General features: G+C 46.3%; 4 annotated features.

Moving 5' to 3' along the window:
• Positions 2236 to 2735: an enhancer, noted in NCBI's record as "H3K4me1 hESC enhancer chr6:39241251-39241750 (GRCh37/hg19 assembly coordinates)". NCBI's record gives its function as "activates a minimal SCP1, AML or CMV promoter by ChIP-STARR-seq in naive H9 embryonic stem cells {active_cell/tissue: H9 hESC(naive)}" and the evidence as "EXISTENCE:reporter gene assay evidence [ECO:0000049][PMID:30033119]".
• Positions 2736 to 3237: an enhancer, noted in NCBI's record as "H3K4me1 hESC enhancer chr6:39240749-39241250 (GRCh37/hg19 assembly coordinates)". NCBI's record gives its function as "activates a minimal SCP1, AML or CMV promoter by ChIP-STARR-seq in naive H9 embryonic stem cells {active_cell/tissue: H9 hESC(naive)}" and the evidence as "EXISTENCE:reporter gene assay evidence [ECO:0000049][PMID:30033119]".
• Positions 11474 to 12199: an enhancer, noted in NCBI's record as "OCT4-NANOG-H3K27ac-H3K4me1 hESC enhancer chr6:39231787-39232512 (GRCh37/hg19 assembly coordinates)". NCBI's record gives its function as "activates a minimal SCP1, AML or CMV promoter by ChIP-STARR-seq in naive and primed H9 embryonic stem cells {active_cell/tissue: H9 hESC(naive and primed)}" and the evidence as "EXISTENCE:reporter gene assay evidence [ECO:0000049][PMID:30033119]".
• Positions 12200 to 12925: an enhancer, noted in NCBI's record as "OCT4-NANOG-H3K27ac-H3K4me1 hESC enhancer chr6:39231061-39231786 (GRCh37/hg19 assembly coordinates)". NCBI's record gives its function as "activates a minimal SCP1, AML or CMV promoter by ChIP-STARR-seq in primed H9 embryonic stem cells {active_cell/tissue: H9 hESC(primed)}" and the evidence as "EXISTENCE:reporter gene assay evidence [ECO:0000049][PMID:30033119]".

Here is a 22687-nt window from a genome sequence, read left to right as displayed (position 1 = left end):
GTAGCTGGGATTACAGGCATGTACCATCATGCCCAGCTAATTTTGTATTTTTACTATAGATGGGGTTTCACCATGTTGGCTAGGCTGGCCTCGAACTCCTGACCTCAGGTGACTCACTTGCCTCGGCCTCCCAAAGTTCTGGGATTACAGGCGTGAGCCACCAGTCTTCTTTCTTAAAAGCCCCTTGGGCACCCATAGAAAGGCTGGTCTGTGCATCTTCCTGGTGGATCCTGGTATCAGATCATTTGCATGTATTGACCTTTCAGGCTGATATACATGAACATCCCTGGGACATGGACCAAACCCTAATTCCACAAGTGCAGACAGTCCTTCCACCTCCCTGCCACCACCCACCAAGCTGGGAACTTGAGGATTCTCTGCAAATCCTACTCTTCCAACCTGTCCCTTAATCTAGAGGAACTTCGTCAACTTCATGCCCGTCTGCTGTGGCCTCAGAGTTGGAGCCTTCTCTTATTCTCAAAATTAACAGCGTCTGTCTGGACCTGGTCCATTCGGGGTAGTTCAGCTAATCCCTGCCAAGCTAGCCTGAAGGCACTTATACTCCATGGGTCAAAATGTCTTAATGTGCAAACTAAAGATGCTAACTGATAATAACAGTAGCTGCCAATCACTCAGGGCAAGGCACTATACTGGGTTCTTTAGATTATTGTCTTTACAGCCCCATCAGAGGACACTCCTAGATCCCACTTTACGGATGGGGAAACTGAGACTCAGAGATGTAGGCTGATTTGCCTAATGACACCTGGCAGGGGAGTCCAAAGCCATGGGACTTTCCCATGGGAAAGGAATGGGACCTTCCCATTCCTCTCCACTGTCTCCATGATGCCCAGTGAAAAACATTTTAATATGTCAGTGCCAGATGGAACTTTTGCTCATCCCAAGATAGCTCCATAGTAGTGCACTATCCTGACATAATTCCCACAAAAAGCACAAGATCTCACCTCTTAGTTTACCTGAGTGGCCTTTTCTCAGCTAAAAGCACACATCCCACGAGACTATTTAAATCTTGCAAACAGCTCTATCACCTCTGTCACTGCCTTCAAGGATGCCCTGGGAACCCCAATTTGGAAACATCTAGCAAGGTCAGCATATCCAGTCACTGGCCTCCCACCAGGTGGTCAGTTATCTTGGGGATCTCTGTCCCATTCAGTCACTCATTGGTGAGTTCTTGAGCATCTGATATATGTTCAGGACTGAGCTTTACATAAAGGTACGGCTCAGACCCTGCCCTCGGGCACTCACAGGGGTGTGTGTGTCTGTGTGTGTGTGGTTCTTTGTAATCTGGATGTACCTGTCCATGAAATGTCACAGGTCAGGTTATCTGGGAAGAACCTGCAGAGATGAGGAAAGGTTTGCTGGGGAGTGAGTCCGAGGAAAGGAAGCAGGCAAGAGCAGGATTGGGCAGAGACCATGAGACCGTGAAGCAGATCTGACCCCTATCCACCAGCCCAGTGGGGAACTCCTGAGCAAAGACTGCCCATTAGAGGAACCTTGAGTTGGTAATGGCCAGGTGCTAGAGCCACTACTGTGCTTAGCCACCTGAGTCAAGGCCAGTGAGGCAGCCAGGGCGTAGCATGTAAGGAGGTGCTTGCACACTCCTGCAGGTGAGCACATCCTTAGATTCTTTTTTTTTTTTTTGAGATGGAGTTTCATTCTTGTCACCCAGGCTGGAGTGTAATGGCATGATCTCAGCTCGCTGCAACCTTCACTTTCCAGGCTCAAGTGATTCTCCTGCTTCAGACTCCCGAGTAGCTGAGATTACAGGCGCCCCCCACCATGCCCAGCTAATTTTTTGTAATTTTAGTAGAGACAGGGTTTCACCATGTTGGCCAGGCTGGTCTCAAACTCCTGATCCCAAGTGATCCACCCACCTCAGCCTCCCAAAGGGCTGGGATTATAGGCATGAGCCACGGCGCCTGGCCCACATCCTTAGATTCTGTGCCCTAGGTGCTACACTTCTCACCCTAGTCCCAGCCCTGTAGTCCCTGAAGGGGCCAACAGCTAGAACTGTCAGCACACCACACCTCACGCCAGGCAATCATCCTTTCTTGCAGGGAGGTCTGCATGGCTCATCCCTGCATCTACCCCATTCTTTCATTCAACAAATACTTATTGAGCATCTCCTGAGTGACAGGCTTCAGGGATATAATACTGAAAGAATCAGACCCAGGCCCTGTGCTCTTGAGCTTCCTATCTACACATCTCCCTGTGCTTATTTGTGAATGTGCCTTGGTGTCTGTGTGTCAGAGTGAGGGTGTGTCGGGATGTGTCGGCCAGACCTTTGGCTCTGTTATGTCCTCGTGTGGGTGCATGGTGAGGCAAAGGGGCTCTGGAAGGATTGGGGAGATTTTCAAAGAAGCTGCAGCTTCAGAAGAAAGATGAGAGAACCAAAGAGGGAAGCTTGTAACTGGGAAAGCAGGTCAGTGTGGTCAAGCCGAGTCTGGCAGGGCATTTCCATGCACAAATGAGTAAGAAGCCAGAATGAGCGAGGAGGGCTCATGCAATCCTGGGCTGGGCGGCTGGGCTCTGGCCAGCAAGGAAAACTTTCTGCTTCCCTGAGAACCAGGGAGTGAAGGGAGGAGGCAATGAAGAAAGCCCCAAGACCAAGAACCAGGGCTGGCAGGGTGGGGTTCAGACTGGGAGGAGTAGGCTGGCGGGGGAGGGCAGGGGCATGAGAGCCTGCTGGGTACCAGCACAGGCCCACCCCTTTCACTGGTTGATCGGTCACCACTGGCTGTGAGCCACATGCAAACTGTGCATTTGAATAAGAAGTAGCTGGCCGAGCAGGGTGGCTCATGCCTGTAATCCCAGCACTTTGGGAGGCCAAGGCAGGCAGATCACTTTAGGCCAGGAGTCTGAGACCAGCCTGACCAACATGGTGAAACCCTATCTCTACTAAAAAAAAACAAAACATGAGCCAGGCTTGGTGGCACGCACCTGTATTCCCAGCTACATGAGAGGCTGAGGCATGAGAATCGCTTGAACCTGGAGGCGGTGGCTGCAGTGAGCCAAAATTGCACCACTGCACTCTAGCCTGGGTGACAGAGTAAGACTCTGTCTCAATTAAAAAAAAAAAAAAAGGGTGGGGGGGCTGGGCGAGGTGGCTCACACCTGTAATCCCAGCACTTTGGGAGGCCGAGGCAGGCGGATCACGAGGTCAGGAGTTCGAGACCAGCCTGGCCAATATGGTGAAACCCCGTCTCTACTAAAAATACAAAAATTAACCAGATGTGGTGGCTCACGCCTGTAGTCCCAGTTACTCAGGAGGTTGAGGCAGAAGAATCGCTTGAATCTGAGAGGTGGAGATTGTAGTGAGCAGAGATCATGCCAGTGCTCTCCAGCCTGGGTGACAGAGCGAGACTCCATCTCAAAAAAAAAAAAGAGAAGTGGCGGTAACATTTGCATAGTTCTTTACATAATGATCCCACTCACCTGTTCCCCAATGCCTAGGATCTGGGAATCCTATTGTCCCCTTTATCTTCTTCTCCCCTCAGCCCATCAGTCTCCAAGACCGGAAGACTCCACAAATCTGGTTCTTTACCTGTCCCCATGGCCTCTGCCCTAGCCTGGATGGACCATGATCCCCTCTCTGTCCCTTGGTGTTAATGTTCTCTCGCCTGCCTGTCTCCCATCTTCCTTCCCTCTCTGATTCATTCTCTTTGCGTCAAAATGTATCACAGCACTATTTTTCCTAAACCCCATTGTCCTTGAGACAAAGCCCCATATTCTCACACATACACAGGCTGTCCTGCCTGAGCACTCTTCCCTCTGCCTGAACACTCTTGCCCCAACTAATTCCTGCTAGGACCTTCAGGTTCAGCATATGCATTGCCCACTCTGGAAGACTTCCCTGGATTCCCAACCCCCACTCCAAGATTAGGTGTCTGCCCCAATTCTCTACCATGGCATTTACTAGGTTACTGTTACCAGTTAATTATAGTGAGTCCAAGAGGGACAGTCACCGATCTGTGCTGCGCACGTTATACCCACAGGGTGCAGCACAGTGCCCATGTCTTCAACAAATAGTTTTTGAGCATCTATTAAATGTCAGGCACAAAAACAGGCCCTGGGGAAATGATGGCAACTTAGCAAAGGTCTTGTCTTCACAGTTTACATCCTTGGTTGTATATTCTAAAGTTATTGCAGGCCAGACATGGTGGCTCATGCCTGTAATCCCCGCACTTTTGGGAGGCCAAGGCAGGCGGATCACCTAAGGTCAGAAGTTTGAGACCAGCCTGGCCAACATGGTGAAAACCCGTATCTACTAAAAATACAGAAAATTAGCTGAGCGTGGTGGTGCATGCCTGTAGTTCCAGCTACTTGGGAAGCTGAGGCAGGAGAATTGTTTGAGCCCGGGAGGCAGAGGTTGTAGTGAGTCGAGATCATGCCACTGCACTCCAGCCTGGGTGACAGAGCAAGACTCTGGCTCAAATAATAAACATAAATGAATAATAAAGTTATTGCTCTGAGTATGCATTGATTTTATGGCGGGAAAGGAAATCAGGAAGGAAGAAAGGGAAGAAGGAAGGGAGGGAGGGAGGAAGAGAGGGAAGGACAGAGAAATGGAGAGACACAGAGAGAGAGAAAGGAAAAGAAAGAAAGATTTGTTCTGGTCCAAACTTCTCAGTGGGTGTTCAGGGTTCAGGGCCCTGTCTTCTTCAAATGTCTTGCCTTGCTTTTTTTCACTTTCTTGCACAAATTTTATGTTCCAGAGAAAATGCAGTTCCCAAACTGCCATGTCCATTCCTACCCCTGAGCCTTTGAACATGCTGTGCCACCTTCCTAGAGCACCTTTGCTGATCTCATACCTCCTGGTTGACCTTCAAGATTCAGCTCTCAAGCGTCATCCCCCAAGCTCGTGTCAAATGCTTCCTTCTCAGGGCTCTTATGACACAGTCACATACCTCCCTAGTGGCCTTCATCATGTTGCATGCTAAAGATTTATCTATATGCCACCGCCACGTCTTTCTCCCACCAGACTGTGAGCTCCAGGAGGGCAGTAACCAAGTCTTATTCATCTCAGATCCCTGAAGAACCTAGATCTGTGCCTGGCACAGAGCAGGCACGGTGGTGTCTGCTGGACTCAGCAGGAAGACGCTGACTCTATCCATCCTGTGCTTTACTCGCCACCCCACTGGTCACCTGTTTCTTAGGTCAAGTGCGGGGCTGACTGTCCAGCCCCTGCAGCCCTCGTGGGGTTCATCACGTTCCTCAGACATGATGCCCTCCCTCTGCCTTGGGATGCCCCATCCCCATTTTCCTGTGGGTCCTCAACTCTAGGGCCCCATAGGCCCTGGACAGGCAGGGCCTCTGGGGTCCTGAGCCCAAGCAGGAACCAACAGGGCTTCACAGACCATTGTGCTGGCTGCCCCCACCACTGCCCCTTCTCACCCCGCAAAGTGACTGCTACCCTGACACCTAACACTATTGATTCGTTGTTGTTGTGTTTAAATGTTATGTACATGGAACCACATGAATGTCCTTTTTGGAACTGGACTCCTTTTACTCACCAAGCTGTCTGTGAGACACATTCACATTGTTGCACACAGCAGTTACAGTTCATTTTCATTGCTGTATAATATCCCATTATAAGAGTATACCATAACTTACTTATCCATTCTGCCATTGATGGGTATTTTGGCTGTTTCCAATGTTTAACTCTTACACATGGCACTGTTAGGAGCATCTTGAGCAATATTATGGTGAGCAGACATGCACATTTCTCTTGTGTTAGAACCAAGGGAAATCCTGCCTTTCTCCCTCTGAATATTCAATGGAAATGGACTCACAAAAGGAGATTAATTGGAGAAAAGGCATACGCATTTATTTAAGGTGTACACAGCAGCCTTCAGAATGAAGACCCAAAGATACAAAGGACATCATTCATTTTTATACTTAGGTTCAACAAAGTTTTTATGGACAGCTGTGTGGAAATACGGTTGGACAATAAGGGTATGCTTTAATGCTCATAGATGGAATGGAGAAACCCAGCAGGGCCTGTCTGTCTAGATTCTTCTTGGCCTTTGAGCCTGCATTCCTTCCTTCTGTGTATGGAGCAGGATTCTCTCTGGAATGGGGCTGCTATGACCTATGGTCAAACAAGATAGGTCAGATAATGTCTTTATGACAAGTTTTCACACACAAAGGTGGAAGGAAAGTGAGAGTAATATTTGTTGGTATTATGGCTGGCTTTGGGGAAAAGGGGTTCTGGTTTCTATTATTCACCTTGGGGAAGAGGGATTCTGGTTTCTACACCCAACACTGGTCAGGGAGAATGCAACTGAGAAGTGGGTGGGCAGGGAAAAACGTTTGCTTCTGAGGCTTCTTCTGAGGCCTACATTTAGGGGTATTGTTTTCTGAGCTCCAACAGTTGGAAAGCAACCTAGGAAAGGAATTGCTGGATCATAGGGTATACACTTGGTCAGCTTTAAAGATATTGGCAAGTAGTTTCCCAAGTGGTTGCACAGCTTTGTTTTTTTGTTTTGTTTTGTTTTGTTTTGTTTTTTGGAGATGAAGTCTCACTCTGTTGCCCAGGCTGGAGTGCAATGGCACAATCTCAGCTCACTGCAACATCCGCCTCCTGGGTTCAAGCGATTCTCCTGCCTCGGCCTCCTGAGTAGCTGGGATTACGGGCACCTGCCACCACGCCCGGCTAATTTTTGTATTTGTAGTAGAGACGGGGTTTCACCATGTTGGCCAGGCTGGTCTCAAACTCCTGACCTCAGGTGATCCACCCACCTCGGCCTCCCAAAGCGCTGAGATTACAGGCATGAGCCACCGCACCAGGCCCACAGCATTGTTTTTATAGAAGAGAAAATCTAAGTCTCCATAAACATATATCCATCCCTTTCCCCTGTTTCCTACACAGTGCAGGGGGCCTGGTCAGAGGGCTTGAGGAGAGGCAGCTACACTGGATGATGAAAGGACAGGGCTGGGAGGACATACATTTTACTGTAGCCTTTTATACCTTCGGAATTTTGAGGCATGTTAAAATGTAACCTAATAATTTTTTTTTTTTAATGAAAAAAGAAGAAGGCGGAGAGAAAAACCCATAGGCTTTTCAGATACCTTCTCTGGCTATTTATAACAGCACCCCCAGTTTCTACTCACCCTCAGATCCCTGTCTGAGCATGATGCTCCCCACCCCACCCCTCCATTCTTAACCTTTACATAGATTCCTCCCCCAAGGAGGAGCTCTTAGCATGGGTTGGGGAGCAGGAATGACAGAGCTTTGGAGAGAACAGAGAGGAGGCAGAACAATAGGGGTGGATGAATAAACACAGAGCTAACAGTTTCTACACATTCCAAGGAGACGGGGAACTAAGGTGCCGTCCAGATCCTCTGCAGATAATCCGGAAAGATGAAAGACTTGCTAGTTAGGAAGGGTTTACAGGGTATGGGTGACAGAGGAAAGGAAAGAGGCAGGACACCACCCTAATGGTTAGGGCAGGGGAGGCAAGGGGTGAGGATAGGTAAGCTGTGGGCACTGGTCCCCTTCTATGTTCCTTCTAGAAACATCCACCATCCCATTCCCCCCCCTCACACACACACCACCCTGATCCTAAGAATGTTGGATATTCCTCACTCAAGGACACCCCACCACCACCTCAGGTCCCAGGCAGGCCAGGTCTAGAGGGATAAAAAGAAGGGTCCCTGGCCCACCCCCTGCCCACCCCCCACCCGCCACCCCATGACGAGGGGCCACCTGCACCTCTAACTGGGGCCAAAAGGAAGTGACTGCTGAGCTGGGCCTGGAGGAGAGAGCCAGCACCATCTGGCTGTATCTGCCTCCCTCAATGCCACATCCTCGAGCAGGGCCGAGAAGAGAGATGGCAGTAAGAAGAGTGTCACTGCCAAGCGCTGAGGATCAGTTCTCAGTAGCAGCCTAACACCTGGCGGAGGTGGGGCCAGTCATTCACTCACCCACTCAATCATTCTTCCATTTGCCAAAGCACATACTGTGGGCCAGGCCCCTCTCCCAACTGAAGCGTTTCCTTTAGCTTGCCTGAAATCCCACCATTTTAGTTACTTAACTGGAGATCAGTGGTAGACTGTGGGGTTGGTAGCTCAAACAATTTGAGGGATAACTCTTAGAAAAATAATCCAAAATGCACACATTTCCAAAAACATGTGACCATGGGAGGACCATGCAGGTGAGGGCCAGACTCTACAGCTGGAACGTGCTTAGTTTCTCTGTAAGTCCAGCTCTTTGCAGACAGGAGCACTGCTTCTTAGAAGTGCAGGTGACAGGCCATGCGTGGTGGCTCATGGCTGTAATCCCAGCACTTTGGGAGGCCAAGGTGGGTGGATCACGAGGTCGAGAGATCGAGACCATCCTGGCCAACATGGTGAAACTCCATCTCTACTAAAGATACAAAAATTAGCCAGGCGTGGTGGCGCGTGCCTGTGGTCCCAACTACTCAGGAGGCTGAAGCAGGAGAATGGTGTGAACCCGGGAGGTGGAAGTTGCTGTGAGCTGAGATTGCACCACTGCGCTTCAGCCTGGCAACAAAGTGAGACTCCATCTCAAACAAACAAAAAAAAAAAGTGCAGGTGACAATAGAAGTTAGCAGCCCTCAGGACAGGGCTCATGGGAAGGAGGAGGGCACTGAGGGCAGGCATTCTGATGGAGACATAGCAGCTCCAGGAGGGGCTGAACCTAGAGAAATGGTAAGAAGAGGGGGCCTCAAAGGCTCCTCCATCATCCACCATCTAGCTGACCTCCTTCCCCCAGAGGCTCAGAGCACAGTCCCTGCTCCCAGGAGAATCTGGCTTCTTCTTGCAGCCAAGAGAAGCCTCTCCCTGGTCTTTTGCAGCAGTCAGGGAGTGGGTGCAGTACCCAGAAATGTAGCCCGTTTTGAGCTTCCACTCCACCTGGGGCTGCCTTGAGAAGAGAAAGTGATGGCCCAGAGGGAAGGTGGGTGGTCTGGGTGGCCCTTCTCTCTCTGGGTCTCAGTCTGCACTCTGGTTCAAAGCAGTGGTTGAACCACTCTAGTTCAAAATGTTTTTCTCTGCCCGTCTGCCTCTCAGTCCCATTCTCCCCGCAACCCGGGGTTGGGTGTAGAAACCAGAATCCCTCTTCCCCAAGGCGAGTCATAGAAACCAGAACCCCTTTTCCCCAAAGCCAGTCATAATACTGACAAATATTACTCTCACTTTCCTTCCACCTTTCTGTGTAAAAACTTGTCATAAAGACATTATCTGACCTATCTTGTTTGACCACAGGTCATAAAAGCCCCATTCCAGAGAGAATCCTGCTCCATACCCAGAAGGAAGGAATGCAGGCTCAGAGAGGCCAAAAGAAAATAAGTTTAAACCAACCAAAGTCTTTTGGAAACCCAGGGTCTTCCAAGGTCTTCCTATCCAGGAGCTTCAAGTTAAAGGAGATGATAGGGTCCATTTCCACTTCAGTTTCTTAAAATTTTAATATATTAAATACAGTCATGTAACAGGGATAGGTTCTGAGAAATTCATCTTTAGGCCATTTCGTCACTATGTGAACATATCATGTAGTGTTACACAAACCTAGATGGAATAGCCTGCTATACACCCCGGCTGTATGGCATAGCCTGTTGCTTCTAGGCTATAAACCTTTACAGCATATTGCTGTACTGAATAAATACTGTAGGCAATTGTAACACAATGGTAAGCACTGGTGTATCTAAACATAGAAACAGTGCAATAAAAATACAGTATAAAAGATTTTTTTAGATGAAACACCTGTCTAGGGCACTTACCATGCATGCAGCTTGCAGGACTGGAAGTTGCTCTGGGTGAGTAAGTGAGTAAGTGGTGAGTGAGTGTGAAGGCCTAGAGCATTACTTACTGTATACTACTGTAGACTTTATAAACACTGTACACTTAGGCTACACTAAATTTATTTTAAAAACTTTCTTTCACAATAAATTACCCTTAACTTACTGTAACTTTTTTACTTTAAAAACTTTTAATTTTTTTAACTTTTTAACTCTTTTGTAATAATACTTAGCTTAAAACAAACACATTACAGCTATACAAAAATATTTTCTAACTTTATATTATTATTCCATAAGCTGTTTTTCTATTTAAAAATTTTTCAGCTGGAAGTGGTGGCTCATGCCTGTAATCCCAGCACTTGGGGAGGCCAAGGCAGGTGAATCACTTGAAGTCAGCAGTTCGAGACCAGCCTGGCCGGCATGGCGAAACCCCGTCTCTACTAAAAATACAAAAAAAGTAAGCCGGGCGTGGTGGTGGGCACCTGTAATCCCAGCTACTCGGGAGGCTGAGACATGAGAATCTCTTGAACCCGGGAGGCGGAGGTTGCAGTGAGCCAAGATCGCACCACTGCACTCCAGCCTGGGTGAGAGAGCGAGACCCTGTCTCAAAAATAAATAAATAAATACATACATAAAAGTTTTCCTTTAACTTTTTAAACTATTTGTTAAAAACTAAAGACACAAACATACACATTAGCCTAGGTCTCACACGGTCAGGATGATCAATATCATCCTCTTCTACCTCCACCTCTTGTCCCACTGGAAGGTCTTCAGAGGCAATAACAGCCCGGAGCTGTCATCTACTGTAACAATACCTTCTTCAGGAATACATCTTGAAAGACCTGCCTGAGGCTGTTTTACACATTAACTTTTACATATATATCATATATATATATGTGTGTGTGTGTGTGTGGGTATAAGGAGAAGAAGCACACTCTAAAATAACAGCAAAAAGCCAGGCATGGTGGTCTGTGCCTGCAGTTCTAGCTACTCAAGAGGCTGAGGTGGGAGGATCACTTGAGTTCAGGAATTCAAATCCAGCCTGGACAACATAGTAAGACCCCATCTCTTAAAATACATAAATAAATAAATAATTTTTAAAAGAAAAGAATGGTTTAAAAAGTATAGGATAATAAATGCATAAACAAGTAATAATAGTCATTTATTATCGTTATGAAGTATGATGCACTGTAAATAGTTGCATGTGCTATACTTTCTTTCCTTTTTTTTTTGAGACGGAGTCTCACACTGTTGCCTGGGCTGGAGTGCAATGGCATGATCTTGGCTCACTGAAACCTCCACCTCCCCCAAGTTCCAGTGATTCTCCTGCCTCAGCCTCCCTAATAGCTGGGATTATAGGTGTGCACCACCACGCCCAGCCAGTTTTTTTGTATTTTTAGTAGAGACGGGGTTTCACCATGTTGGCCAGGCTGGTCTCGAAGTCCTGGCCTTGTGATCCGCCCGCCTCAGCCTCCCAAAGTGCTGGGATTACATGCGTGAGCCACCGCGCCTGGCCTGCATGTGCTATACTTTCACATGATTGGCAATGCAGGTCTGTTTACAGCAGCATCACCACAAACTTGTGAGTAACGCACCATGCTATAATGTTAAGACAGCTACGAAATCACTAGGTGATAGGAACGTTTCAGCTCCATTATAATCTTATGGGACCACCATCATATATCTGCTCCATTGTTGATCTAAATGCTGTCATGTGGCCCATGACTATAATTACTTTTCTCACCCTGAAGGCCTTTCTAAGTATGGCATTAAACCTGGAAGCCATAAAATAGAAGCTTGATCAATTCAGCTCCAAACACATTTTTTTTAATTTCTACGTGGCAAAAAAATATTATCAACAAAACCAAAAGACAAACAACAAACTTAGAAAAGTATTTGTGACTAATATCATAAATATACAGTCAATTTCTCTCATATATAAAAAGCTCCTACAAATCAATAAGGAAAAGACCTAGAACCCTCAATAGAAAAAAATGAGCCAGAGACATGAACAGACAATTCACAGAAAAAAGAAATTCAAGTGACTTTTTTTTTTTTTTTTGAGACGGAGTCTCGCTCTGTGGCCCCAGCTGGAGTGCAGTGGTGCGATCTCGGCTCACTGCAAGCTCCGCCTCCCGGGTTCACGCCATTCTCCTGCCTCAGCCTCCCAAGCAGCTGGGACTACAGGCGCCCGCCACCATGCCCGGCTAATTTTTTGTATTTTTAGTAGAGACGGGGTTTCACCGTGTTAGCCAGGATGGTCTCGATCTCCTGACCTCGTGATCCACCCACCTCGGCCTCCCAAAGTGCTGGGATTACAGGCGTGAGCCACCGCGCTGGCCTCAGGTGACTTTTATACACTTGAAAAGATGCCCAACCTCACCTGCAATAAGAGAATTGCATATTTAAACTAGCACTGACTTACCATGTTCACCTATCAGATTGGCAAAGATCAAATGTCTGTCAGTACACTGAGTTGGCAAAGATTTGTTGAAGCAGCACTCAGATCTTTCTGCTGAGCATGTAAATTGGAACAAACCCTCTGGAGAACAGTTTGGCAACCATTGCAGAAATTCTAAATGAGCATTCACTTTGACCCAGCAATTCTACTTTGCTCTTGTGGTTTTTGCATTTGAAACCACCTAACCCTGTTAGCTATTCAAAAGCAAATTAAACAGGTCTGAAAAGCTTCCCTCTAGAGCAAAAGTGAGTGGTTACTGAGAGTGTCTGCCTTGGTCCTGGTGACTCAGATTTACCGACAGCTTTCCTACTCAACTACATGCAACAGTTGATGTGTGTTTTTTGATCATTAAGAAACTTTAAATCATTTTTAGATATTGTCATTTATTATTTTCTGTCTACCCACAAGAGACAGAAATAGGCGGTTGGTTAGGAACGGGAAGTTAGGACAAATACAAGTATAACAACCCAAGGAAGAGTTTCGCAACTTGCTTCAACGGGATCATTATAGGTCCATAATTTCTATTTATCTGATCAAAATTGTTTTAAAGCATGCCAAGGCATCTTGGGTTCTTAAAAATAATGTTAAAATGAAATAAGAAAGGGCTGATTTTTTCCAATTAAGCTTTGCCTTTATTGGAAATATACAGCCACAATGTGTTAAGAGTGGAGACATACTTAGAAAAAGCAGCCTGAAACCTTCTCTCCCATTATGTGGAAGCCAGACTTGAAATGTATGACAATGAACCAGCTGGTTTTCTTGATGTGACATGCAAGTATTCCACATATCACATCCTGAAATAGTTTTTGCCAATTCTTGATGTTCTAATACGTCAAATAGTATCAATCCACTCTTTTATTATTATTATTATTTTCTTTAGAGACAGGGTTTCACCCTTGTCACCTGGAACTGGAGTGCAGTGGCACAATCATAGCTCACTGCAACCTCCAACTCCTGGGCTCAAGCAATCCTCCAGCCTCAGCCTCCTGAGTAGCTAGGGCTACAGGCACACCATCACATCGCCTTTTTTTTTTTCTTTAAATAGAAATGGGGTCTTGCTATGATGCTCAGGCTGGTCTCAAACTCCTGGCCTGAATAGATCCTCCTGCTTTCGCCTCCCAAAGCGCTAGGATTACAGGCATGAGCCACTGTGCCTGGCCTCAATCCACTCTTGTAATAAATACATTCAATCCCTAATCTAAATATGATATAGCTGTCATTTTGAATTGGTCCAACAAATCATGTTTTTCCTTAAGTAATAAGTAGATGTTATATTTGAAAAACTCAAAATTAGTCTTTATACATTATAGATGTTTAATTAATATGAACTCTATAATATTAATATAAGCTTTAACAATACATTACAATTCCCAACTTTATACATTAGCATTAAAATTATCAGCAACTTTTTAAAAACTGAGAAACACTAAGCTCTGATATTCTTGGCTTCCAAGATTCAACAGCCAGTGATATTTACCCTTAGTGTCTGGAGCTGCCCAAATGCTGATCCCTGAAGAAAACCAGGCAAAAGTTAAACATTTTCTTATAAATATTCCCTATGTCTTCAACGATTTATAAATACTTGTGATCTCACATGAGCCTTGCAAAACATCTAGCATCTATCTATCTATCTATAGCACCATCTATCTTTCCATCTAGTTCTTCCCACTTGACAGACAAGGACATTGAGGCCCAGAGAAGTTTCCAGTCCTTGCTTAGGGTCACACCCAGATCTGCGGCTCTCCATACCCTGTCATTCAGACCTCCCCATCCCTATTGTATTCTGAGGACAAACCTGGGGCTTTTATGATAAAAGTGGCTCAGAGCAGAGGTGGATGGAGTCTGGGAGGTAGGTCAAGGCTGAAGGGTTGTGGGGGTGGGGGCCTAGCAGTAGACTGGGAGAGAGGGCTGGGCAGAGGGCACTGAAGTCAACATCAGCAATTCTGCTCTATGGACTACTGAGTGACGCTCAGCAATCATCAGTGCCTGATGGGGCCAAAGCCCCTGGAAAACCACCTTGACCGCCAGGGCTCTGGTAAATGTTTAAGCATTGGGGATGGCAGTAAGAAGCAATTATTGTTGTGGGGCATGGTATTAAGTGCAAGAAGTGCGGAGATGGAGACTTTAACCCCAGAAATGCATAGTCACCCCCACCTCTGTTGTGTTCCTCAGAGGCCAGGAAGGGGCTGCCTGGGTAGGCTAGCAAGCCCCCTGCCTCAAGAGTCCTTCTCTGAGCCATTCCAAGCAAGGGGGAGGAGTCCTCCCCAGGAATTCAAGAGCCTCTCTCCCCACCTTCATCCTAATTAAGGTCAGCCAGTTGGGACTGGGCATGGGATTGGGGCTTTCCTGAGTCCTTTATAAGGTCCAAACTCTTCTGGGTGTGCAGCTATCTGACCCCGTTCCTTTCCACCACCACACTCCCCCGAACACACATCCCTTTGCCACCTCCTGCCAGGCCCACTCCGTAGGTCTCTGCCTTCCCATTGTACCTCAGATTCCTTCTTTGGGCATGGAACCATTGATTCCTGAAGGTCAACAATGGCATCTAGCGTGACAAGTGGAAGGTGGTAAGAATCAGTGCGACTGACTCATTGAAATGGGCATCCAAGTAGGACCAACAATGTCCAACACTGGCTCTGTCCTCAACAAAGGCCACTGGGTTTCCTAAATGGGGTTGCTATCAACTGGGAACACTTGCCTTAAACCAGCAGCACCCACTTCATCACCATCAGCTTCATCACCAGCCCTATTTGGAAGCTGGGTAGGGTATTACACAGGTGGAATGTTAATCCAAGTCTTCTGTCCACTCTGGATTTGAGCCAGTTCCTTTGGGGGCCAACAGAACTTTAGCCCTATGCTGAAGCTGCGGTTGCTAGCTCACCTCTACCCTCCTCGTCTTGTCTTCTTTCCTTTTGACACTGTTGTATTGTTGGAAGTGACAACATACTCAGCTTAAAACAAATAGGCCATTCCCCAGGCTCCCTGTCTTGAGGAAGAGCATGGTGGCCAGTGGGTCAGGGAATGGAGGGGGCTTCAGGGAAAATTCATTAAAGCATCCTGACAGAGCTTGCAGGCATCCTCTTGCCCTGTTTCCCATACTCCTTCTTCCTCCCTTACACTTGGATGTGTTGCCGGGAGCTTCAATTGCCATCTTGGACTAGAAGCTCCCTGAGGACAGGAATCATTCTGTTTACTGTAAAGCCTGGCAGATTGTCTGCTGCTGACTATATTTTTAAGGGCTCTTGGTGATGATGACAGTGGTCATAGTGAGAATGATGCTGCTGACAACCCTGTAAGCTGCTTGTGGACATCCTGGACCACAGGTTTCCTGTGAGTCACTCAACTGTCTCCAGACAAATGTCCTGTAGGCAAGCATTCCAAATAACCAGATCCTTAAACAGCAATTAGCAACCTCTGTGGAGAGCAATTACCCAGCACATCCAAATTTACAAGTTTACCTCCTCTTCGACCCAGAGATTCACTGAGAGAACTTATCCTACAGATCACATATACACAAAATGATATATGTACCAGGTTATTGATGGAAGCCTCACTGATACTAGCAAATAGCTGGAAACAACCTGAATATCCACCAGCAGATCACTGGCTCAAGAAATGCTGGCATTTCCAAGCCGTGGAACGTTATACAGCTGTATAAAAGAACTGGAATAATCTTTATGCAAAGAAAGAACTATCTTCAAGATGTATTGTGAAGTGAGGGAAGAGGCAGAGCAGAGTGAAAGAGGAGATGCAGGTAGCTAAGGAAGGGGCGAGAGAGCGACTTATTCTGGAATCATGTGAATGTATGACCTTGACTAAAAATAAATGAAATAAAACAGCTAGACATCAAATGCAGAGATCTCTCACATTCATATTCATTTATCCCACAGATATCAACAACCTGCTGAATGCTGGGCAGTGGACTACAGATTAGACTAAGAAAGACCTTTGTAATGCCCAGTATGGGGTGGTAGGTGGGGGCCAGGGGAGCCAGGAAATGAACCAGCAACTATAAACCTATGCTGAAAATAGAATAAGTACAAAATGCTGTAGCTATGCAGAATACAGAGTCCAGGAAGGCTTCCTGGAGGAAGCCTTGATGAATGAGTAGCAGATAGCCAGAGAGGAGAAGGGGAGAAAGGGAATTCTGGGAAGGGAGCACTACAGGAACAATTACCAAGATGTGGCCCAGCTTAACAGGTGAGAAGATGCAGAGGGCATTGAGAAGATGGCCAACTTAAGACCAGACTAGACAGAGCTCAAGTTTCAAGGTAAGAGCCTTGATTAAAAAAACCTAGAATATCTCTCTTTTACTGAGAAGTTAAATCAGGATTGGGAGAGGGAGGTGGGCAGGTGCAGAGGCTCATGCCTATAATCCCAGCACTTCAAAAGCCTAAGGTGAGAGGATCTCTTGAGGCCAGGAGTTTGAGACTTCCTGGGCAGCATCGAGAGACCTCATCTCCACAAAAGATTTAAAAATTAGCAGGATATGATGGTGCGTGTCTGTGGTTCTAGCTACCCATCTCCACAGAATAAAAAATACATTAGCTAGGCATGGTGGTGCATGTCTGTAGTCCAGCTACTCAGGACAGTGAGGAGGGAAGATTGCTTGAGCCCAGGGGTTCAAGGCTGCAGTGATTCCTGATTGCACTACTGCAGTCCTGGGCAACAGAGTAAGACACTGTTTTAGAAAAGAAAAGTAAGAAAAAAATTGGGTGGAGATGCTAATCCTGGGGCTTCAGATTGCCTTTTTCCACCTCCCGCTGAGCTCCCTCAACCCAGAAACAGGGCTGCAAAAGACCTGGTTGTCAGAGATGACTCTGGACATGACTTGTGATGAACACATCAACGTTCCCTCACTGCCTAAATGGTGTACTCCAAATTATGTCAGTCAGTGTCATTTACTGAACAATCACAGGGGCCCGCTGGATGCTGGGCAGCGACAGCATTCAGGGGCATGAGCGACATAGAAGATAAAGCCTTTGGCTTGGAACATCTAATTTAAACAAAAAATCATCTAAAACCAGAGTAACTCAATTTAGGACTATCTTTTTTTTTTTTTTTCCGAGACGGAGTCTTGCTCTGTCACCCAGGCTGGAGTGCGGTGACACGATCTCAGCTCACTACAAGCTCCGCCTCCTGGGTTCGCGCCATTCTCCTGCCTCAGCCTCTCAAGTAGCTGGGATTACAGGCACCTGCCACCACGCCCGGATAACTTTTTGTATTTTTTTAGTAGAGATAGGGTTTCACCATGTTGGCCAGGCTGGTCTCGAACTCCTGACCTCAGGAGATCCACCCGCCTCGGCCTCCCAAAGTGCTGGGATTACAGGCGTGAGCCACTGTGCCCAGCCAGGACTATCTTTAAAAGCATAGCCCAAAGCAGAAACTCATACATTTGCTCACGGATATTCATAGCAGCATGATTCACAATAGCCGAGAGGTGGAAGCAACCCACGTGTCCACAGACAAGTAAATGGATAAACAAAACGTGGTGTATAAATATTATAGAATATCATTCAGCCATAAAAAGGAATAATGTTGTGATACATGCCACAACTCAGGTGAACCTTGAAAACATGCTAAGTGGAGGAAATCAGAGAGGAAAAGACAAATACCGTATGATTCCACTCATATGAAATATCTGGAATAGTCAAGTTAACACAGATAGAAAGTAGTTAGGAGGTTTCCGGGGCAATGGGAGTTATTGCTTAGTGAATACAGAGTTTCTGTTTGGGATGATGGAAATTTTTGGAAATAATCATGATGGTTATACAATATTATGACTATAATATTAAATACTGAATATTTGATATTGATTTAAATATGGACTATAATATTAAATATTGAAGCCAGGTGAGGTGGCTTGTGCTGGCAAGGTAGTCCTAGCTACTAGGGAAGCTGAGGTGGGAGGATCACTGGAGCCAGGAGTTCAAGGCTGCAGTGAGCTATGATTGTGCTACTGTACTCCATCCTGAGTGACACAGCAAGACCCTGTCTCTATTTTTTTTTTTTTTTAATGTGGCTCAGGAGCAGGAGATAGTGAGGGCTCAGCCAATTTAGGAAGGCCTCTTGAAGGGGGTAACATTTGAAAAAAGTCTGGGAAAATGTGGTGCAAGAGGAGAAGGAAAAGCATGGTGATGGAAGGTTGTGTGGGAGTGACAAGAACCCCAGAAGGCGGGAGTCTGATGGCCTCCCCTGGACCAGGTGGAGAGTAAGGGGAGAGTCATAAGAATCAAGAGTTTGCTGGATGAGTGAGAGAGAGGTCAATGATATTCATGATACAAAATTACTGCAGGTGGCCGAACATGGTGGCTCACACCTGTAATCCCGGCACTTTGGGAGACCAAGGTGGGTGGATCACCTGAAGTCAGGAGTTCGAGACCAGCTTGGCCAACATGGCAAAACCCCACCTCTACTAAAAATACAAAAAATTAGCCAGGCATGGTGGCAGGCACTTGTAATCCAAGCTACTCGGGAGGCGGAGGCAGGAAAATCGCTTGAACTTGGGAGGCGGAGGTTGCAGTGAGCCAAGATTGTGCCATTGCACTCCAGCCTGCAAGACAGAGTGAGACTCTGTCTCAAAAAAAAAAAAAATAGTACTGCAGGCAAAGATTCAACACTTGAGGTAGGTAATATTAATTCCATTTTACAGATGGATAAACTGAGGCTCATCCAGGGGTAGAGGTTTACTCAAGATGGCACAGCTCATAGGCCGAACAGTGGAGATTTGATCTGAAGTTATGTGGCCCTAAAGCAGTGGCTCTCGCAGGGTGCAGTGGCTCACGCCTGTAATCCCAGAACTTTGGGAGGTGGAGGTGAGTCACAAGGTCACGGGTGGATCACGAGGTCAGGAGATCAAGACCATCCTGGGCAATAAGGTGAAACCCCGTCTCCACCAAAAATACAAAAATTAGCTGGGCATGGTGGTGCGTGCCTGTAATGCCAGCTACTCAGGAGGCTGAGGCAGGAGAATCACTTGAACCAGGGAGTTGGAGGTTGCAGTGAGCCGAGATCACACCGCTGCACTACAGCCTGGTGACAGAGTAAGACTCTTCAAAAAAAAAAAAAAAAAAAAAAAAAAGCAATGGCTCTCAACCCTGGCTACACACTGAGATGCCCCCAGAGAGCTTTTAAAAAACACACTGCCAGCATCCCAACTCCAGAGATTTCCTTCTAATTTCCTGGGAAGTGAGGCTTGAGCATTAATCTTTCTGAAAAGCTCCCCAGTGGATTCTAATGTGCTGACTGGATTGAGAAGCACTGCTCAAAGACCCAACACATCTGATTCCCTCTGCTCTTGGGGTTACTCACTGTCATTGTCAGGCAAGATGCTCAACCGCTTTGAGCCTCATCTATAAAATGGGTAAAGAATACATACCCTGACTAACTAAGCCCAGTATGAGATTAACAGTGTACCTGAGCTTCCCTTCCTCCCCCTCCCTGGCCCCTTCATCTCTTAGCTGCAAGTGTCAGCACAACAGGCAGTCCAGGAAGTGAGGCAGGGAGGGTAGTAGGATAGGGGCCACCCAGAAGCACTGTTGAAGACACAGCCCAGAGGCTGCAGGCAGAGGGGAGCAAATAAGTAACTATATTGAGGATGATGGGAGCTAAGTTTCCCACTGTCAGAGGGCCGCTTTACTCACTGTCCTGGGAGCAATGATGGTTACTGGGAAAGGAGGAAGGCTGGAAAAAACTTTGAGGTTTGGGACTGGAATCAGAAGTATTGGCACAAACTTTTTTTTTTAATAATTCTTTTTTGTTTTTTATTTTTGAGACGAAGTCTCGCTCTGTCGCCAGGCTGGAGGGCAGTGGCATGATCTCAGCTCACTGCAACCTCCGCCTCCCGGGTTCAAGCCATTCTCCTGCCTCAGCCTCCCGAGTAGCTGGGACTACGGGCGCACACCACCATGCCCAGCTAATTTTTGTGTTTTTAGTAGAGACAGGGTTTCACCATGTTGCCCAAGAGTGGTCTCAATCTCTTGACCTCGTGATCTGCCCACCTCGGCCTCCCAAAGTGCTGGGATTACAGGCTTGAGCCACTGCGCCCAGCCGAACTCATGATTTTAAATTATACTTAGACTTTAAAATAGCTATAGATATCTGTGTGTTGTGTATGTATAATGTATGTGTATCTATGTATAGTTAATCTTTTTTTTTTTAAGACAGAGTCTCACTCTGCTGCCCAGACTGAAGTGCCGTGGCATGATCTCAGCTCACTGCAACCTCCACCTCCCAAGTTCAAGTGATTCTTCTGCCTCAGCTTCCCGAGTAGCTGGGATTACAGGCATGCACTACCACGCCCAGCTAGTTTTTGTATTTTTAGTAGAGACAGGGTTTCACCGTGTTGGCCAGGCTGGTCTCAAACTCCTGACCTCAGGTGATCTGCCCGCTTCAGCCTCCCAAAGTTCTGAGATTACAGGCATGAGCCACTGTGCCCGGCCAATTGATCTTCATTATTCAGGGATTCTGTATATATAAATTTGCCCTGTTGCTAAAATTTATCTGTAACTGCAAAATCAATACCCATGGCACTTTTGCAGTCATTCTTGCACATGTACAAAGCAGGGGAAAATATGAGTTGCCTGGTGTACATGTGGCCCCAGCTGAGGTTGAACAAGGCGACACTCTGCCTTCTCATTTCAGTGCTTTACTGTAAACAAGTGTCCTTTTTGTGGTCTATTTGGTGTCATATTTTTTCATTTTTGTACTTTTCCTTGGTGCTTTTGCTGTTGAAAATAGACCTCAACTACACTGCTGCAGAACTGTTTAGATTGCCTAAGCACAAGAAGGCTGTGATGTGTTCGTGGTGAAAGAATATACATGGTAGATAAGCTTTGTTCCAGTAGAAGTTATAGTGCTGGTGGCCATGAGTTCGATGTTCATGAATCAACCATGTATATTAAATGAGCTGTCTTCAAACCGAAACACACATAAAATGAGGTTCTGTATTGGTTGTTTGATGAAAATGTTGTGACCAGAGAGGCTCATGGAACCTAACCCTGTACTTGTCCTAGGAGCAATGTGTCAGTATTTGCCAATTCGTGTTGCCACTGAATTAGCAAATGATGGAAATTGGTTGTGTATGTATGTGTGTATGTGTGTGTATCCTAGCTCTAATCTTTGAGAGGGCCTAGAAGTAATGTCACCCCAATAACCACAAGCACACCAAGCTCTCAGATCTTGGTTTCTAAACATCACTCTTCACAAAAAGGAACCAGGGCTCCCTATTCCAGGGCTGAAGCAAGGAAAGTGCAAAAGAGCCTGGAACATTTTATCATGCCAGAAAGTAAGAAAACGCTCCAAGAATGATGGGGACAAGTCAAAGGACACAAGGGGCCAGCTTGAAGGGGGTCGGTTTGGCCCATTCTGGGACAATTTGACCACCAAAATAAACAATAATATTAACAGATTTCAACCACCTACGTAAAATAGGAATCCATGAGTCCATCCTGATATAAACAAACAAACAACTGGGAGAGAAAGGAAGGTTTTTTCTTATAGTAGAATGCCAACTACTAAATGGTAGAAGGAACTATAGAAATAGAAAAATCACCACTGGCAACCACCATACTGGTGTTTGATTCAGATGGGAGTTGTCAACAGATGTCAAAGCTGGTGCACAGAGGTTTGAAGAGGATTGGCATATTGGCATAATCTCACATTATCTCTCCACAAAATACTTATTAATTACAAAAGGGAGATGGGGACTCTGGTGGAGAAGCCTGGAAGACACCAACTTGACCAAGGGACAAAGGTCCAGAAACATTTCTGTGGTATTTATTGTCAAAACTGCATGTATGGCCTGCGTCTGGTCATGAGGAAACACCAAAGGAACTCAAGTTGAAGGTCATCCAATGGAATAAAAGGCCTGACCTTTTTAAGACTGCTAAGGATACAAAATGCAGGGAAAGACGAAGAAACTGTTGTAGATTGAAGAAGATGGGTGACACATGACAACTAAATGTAATGCATGGTCCTGGATTCCCTCCTGGACTTCTCCCCTCCCCCACCACCCCCCGTAAAATGGACATTCTTAGGACAATGTGCAACACTTGAACAGGATCTGTAGATTGAATGGTTTCCTGTGCCAAGGTCAATTCCCTAATTTGAAGAGCTGATGAAGAATTTAGGTAGGTGATTATTCTTATATTGATGGGCATCATGTCTGCATCTCAAATTCAGAAAAAGATGAATGGAAAGGCCAAGCGCAGTGGCTCATGCCTGTACTTCCAGCCCATAGGGAAATGGAAGCAGGAAGATTTGTTGAGGCCAGGGGTTCAAGACCAGCCTGGGCAACATCGTGAAAACCACCCCCATACACACACACAAAGAATTTTAAAAATTATTCAGTCATGGTGGCACATGCCTATAGTCTCGGCTACTCAGGAGGCTGAGGCTGGAATATCACTTGAGCCCAGGAGTTCAAGATTGCAGTAAGCTACAATTGCAC

This window comes from Homo sapiens, chromosome 6 (assembly GCF_000001405.40).
Source record: "Homo sapiens chromosome 6, GRCh38.p14 Primary Assembly".
Classification (NCBI taxonomy): Eukaryota; Metazoa; Chordata; class Mammalia; order Primates; family Hominidae; genus Homo; species Homo sapiens.
Note: the sequence above shows the minus strand (reverse complement) of the source record. Positions and strands in the feature narration are given on the sequence as shown.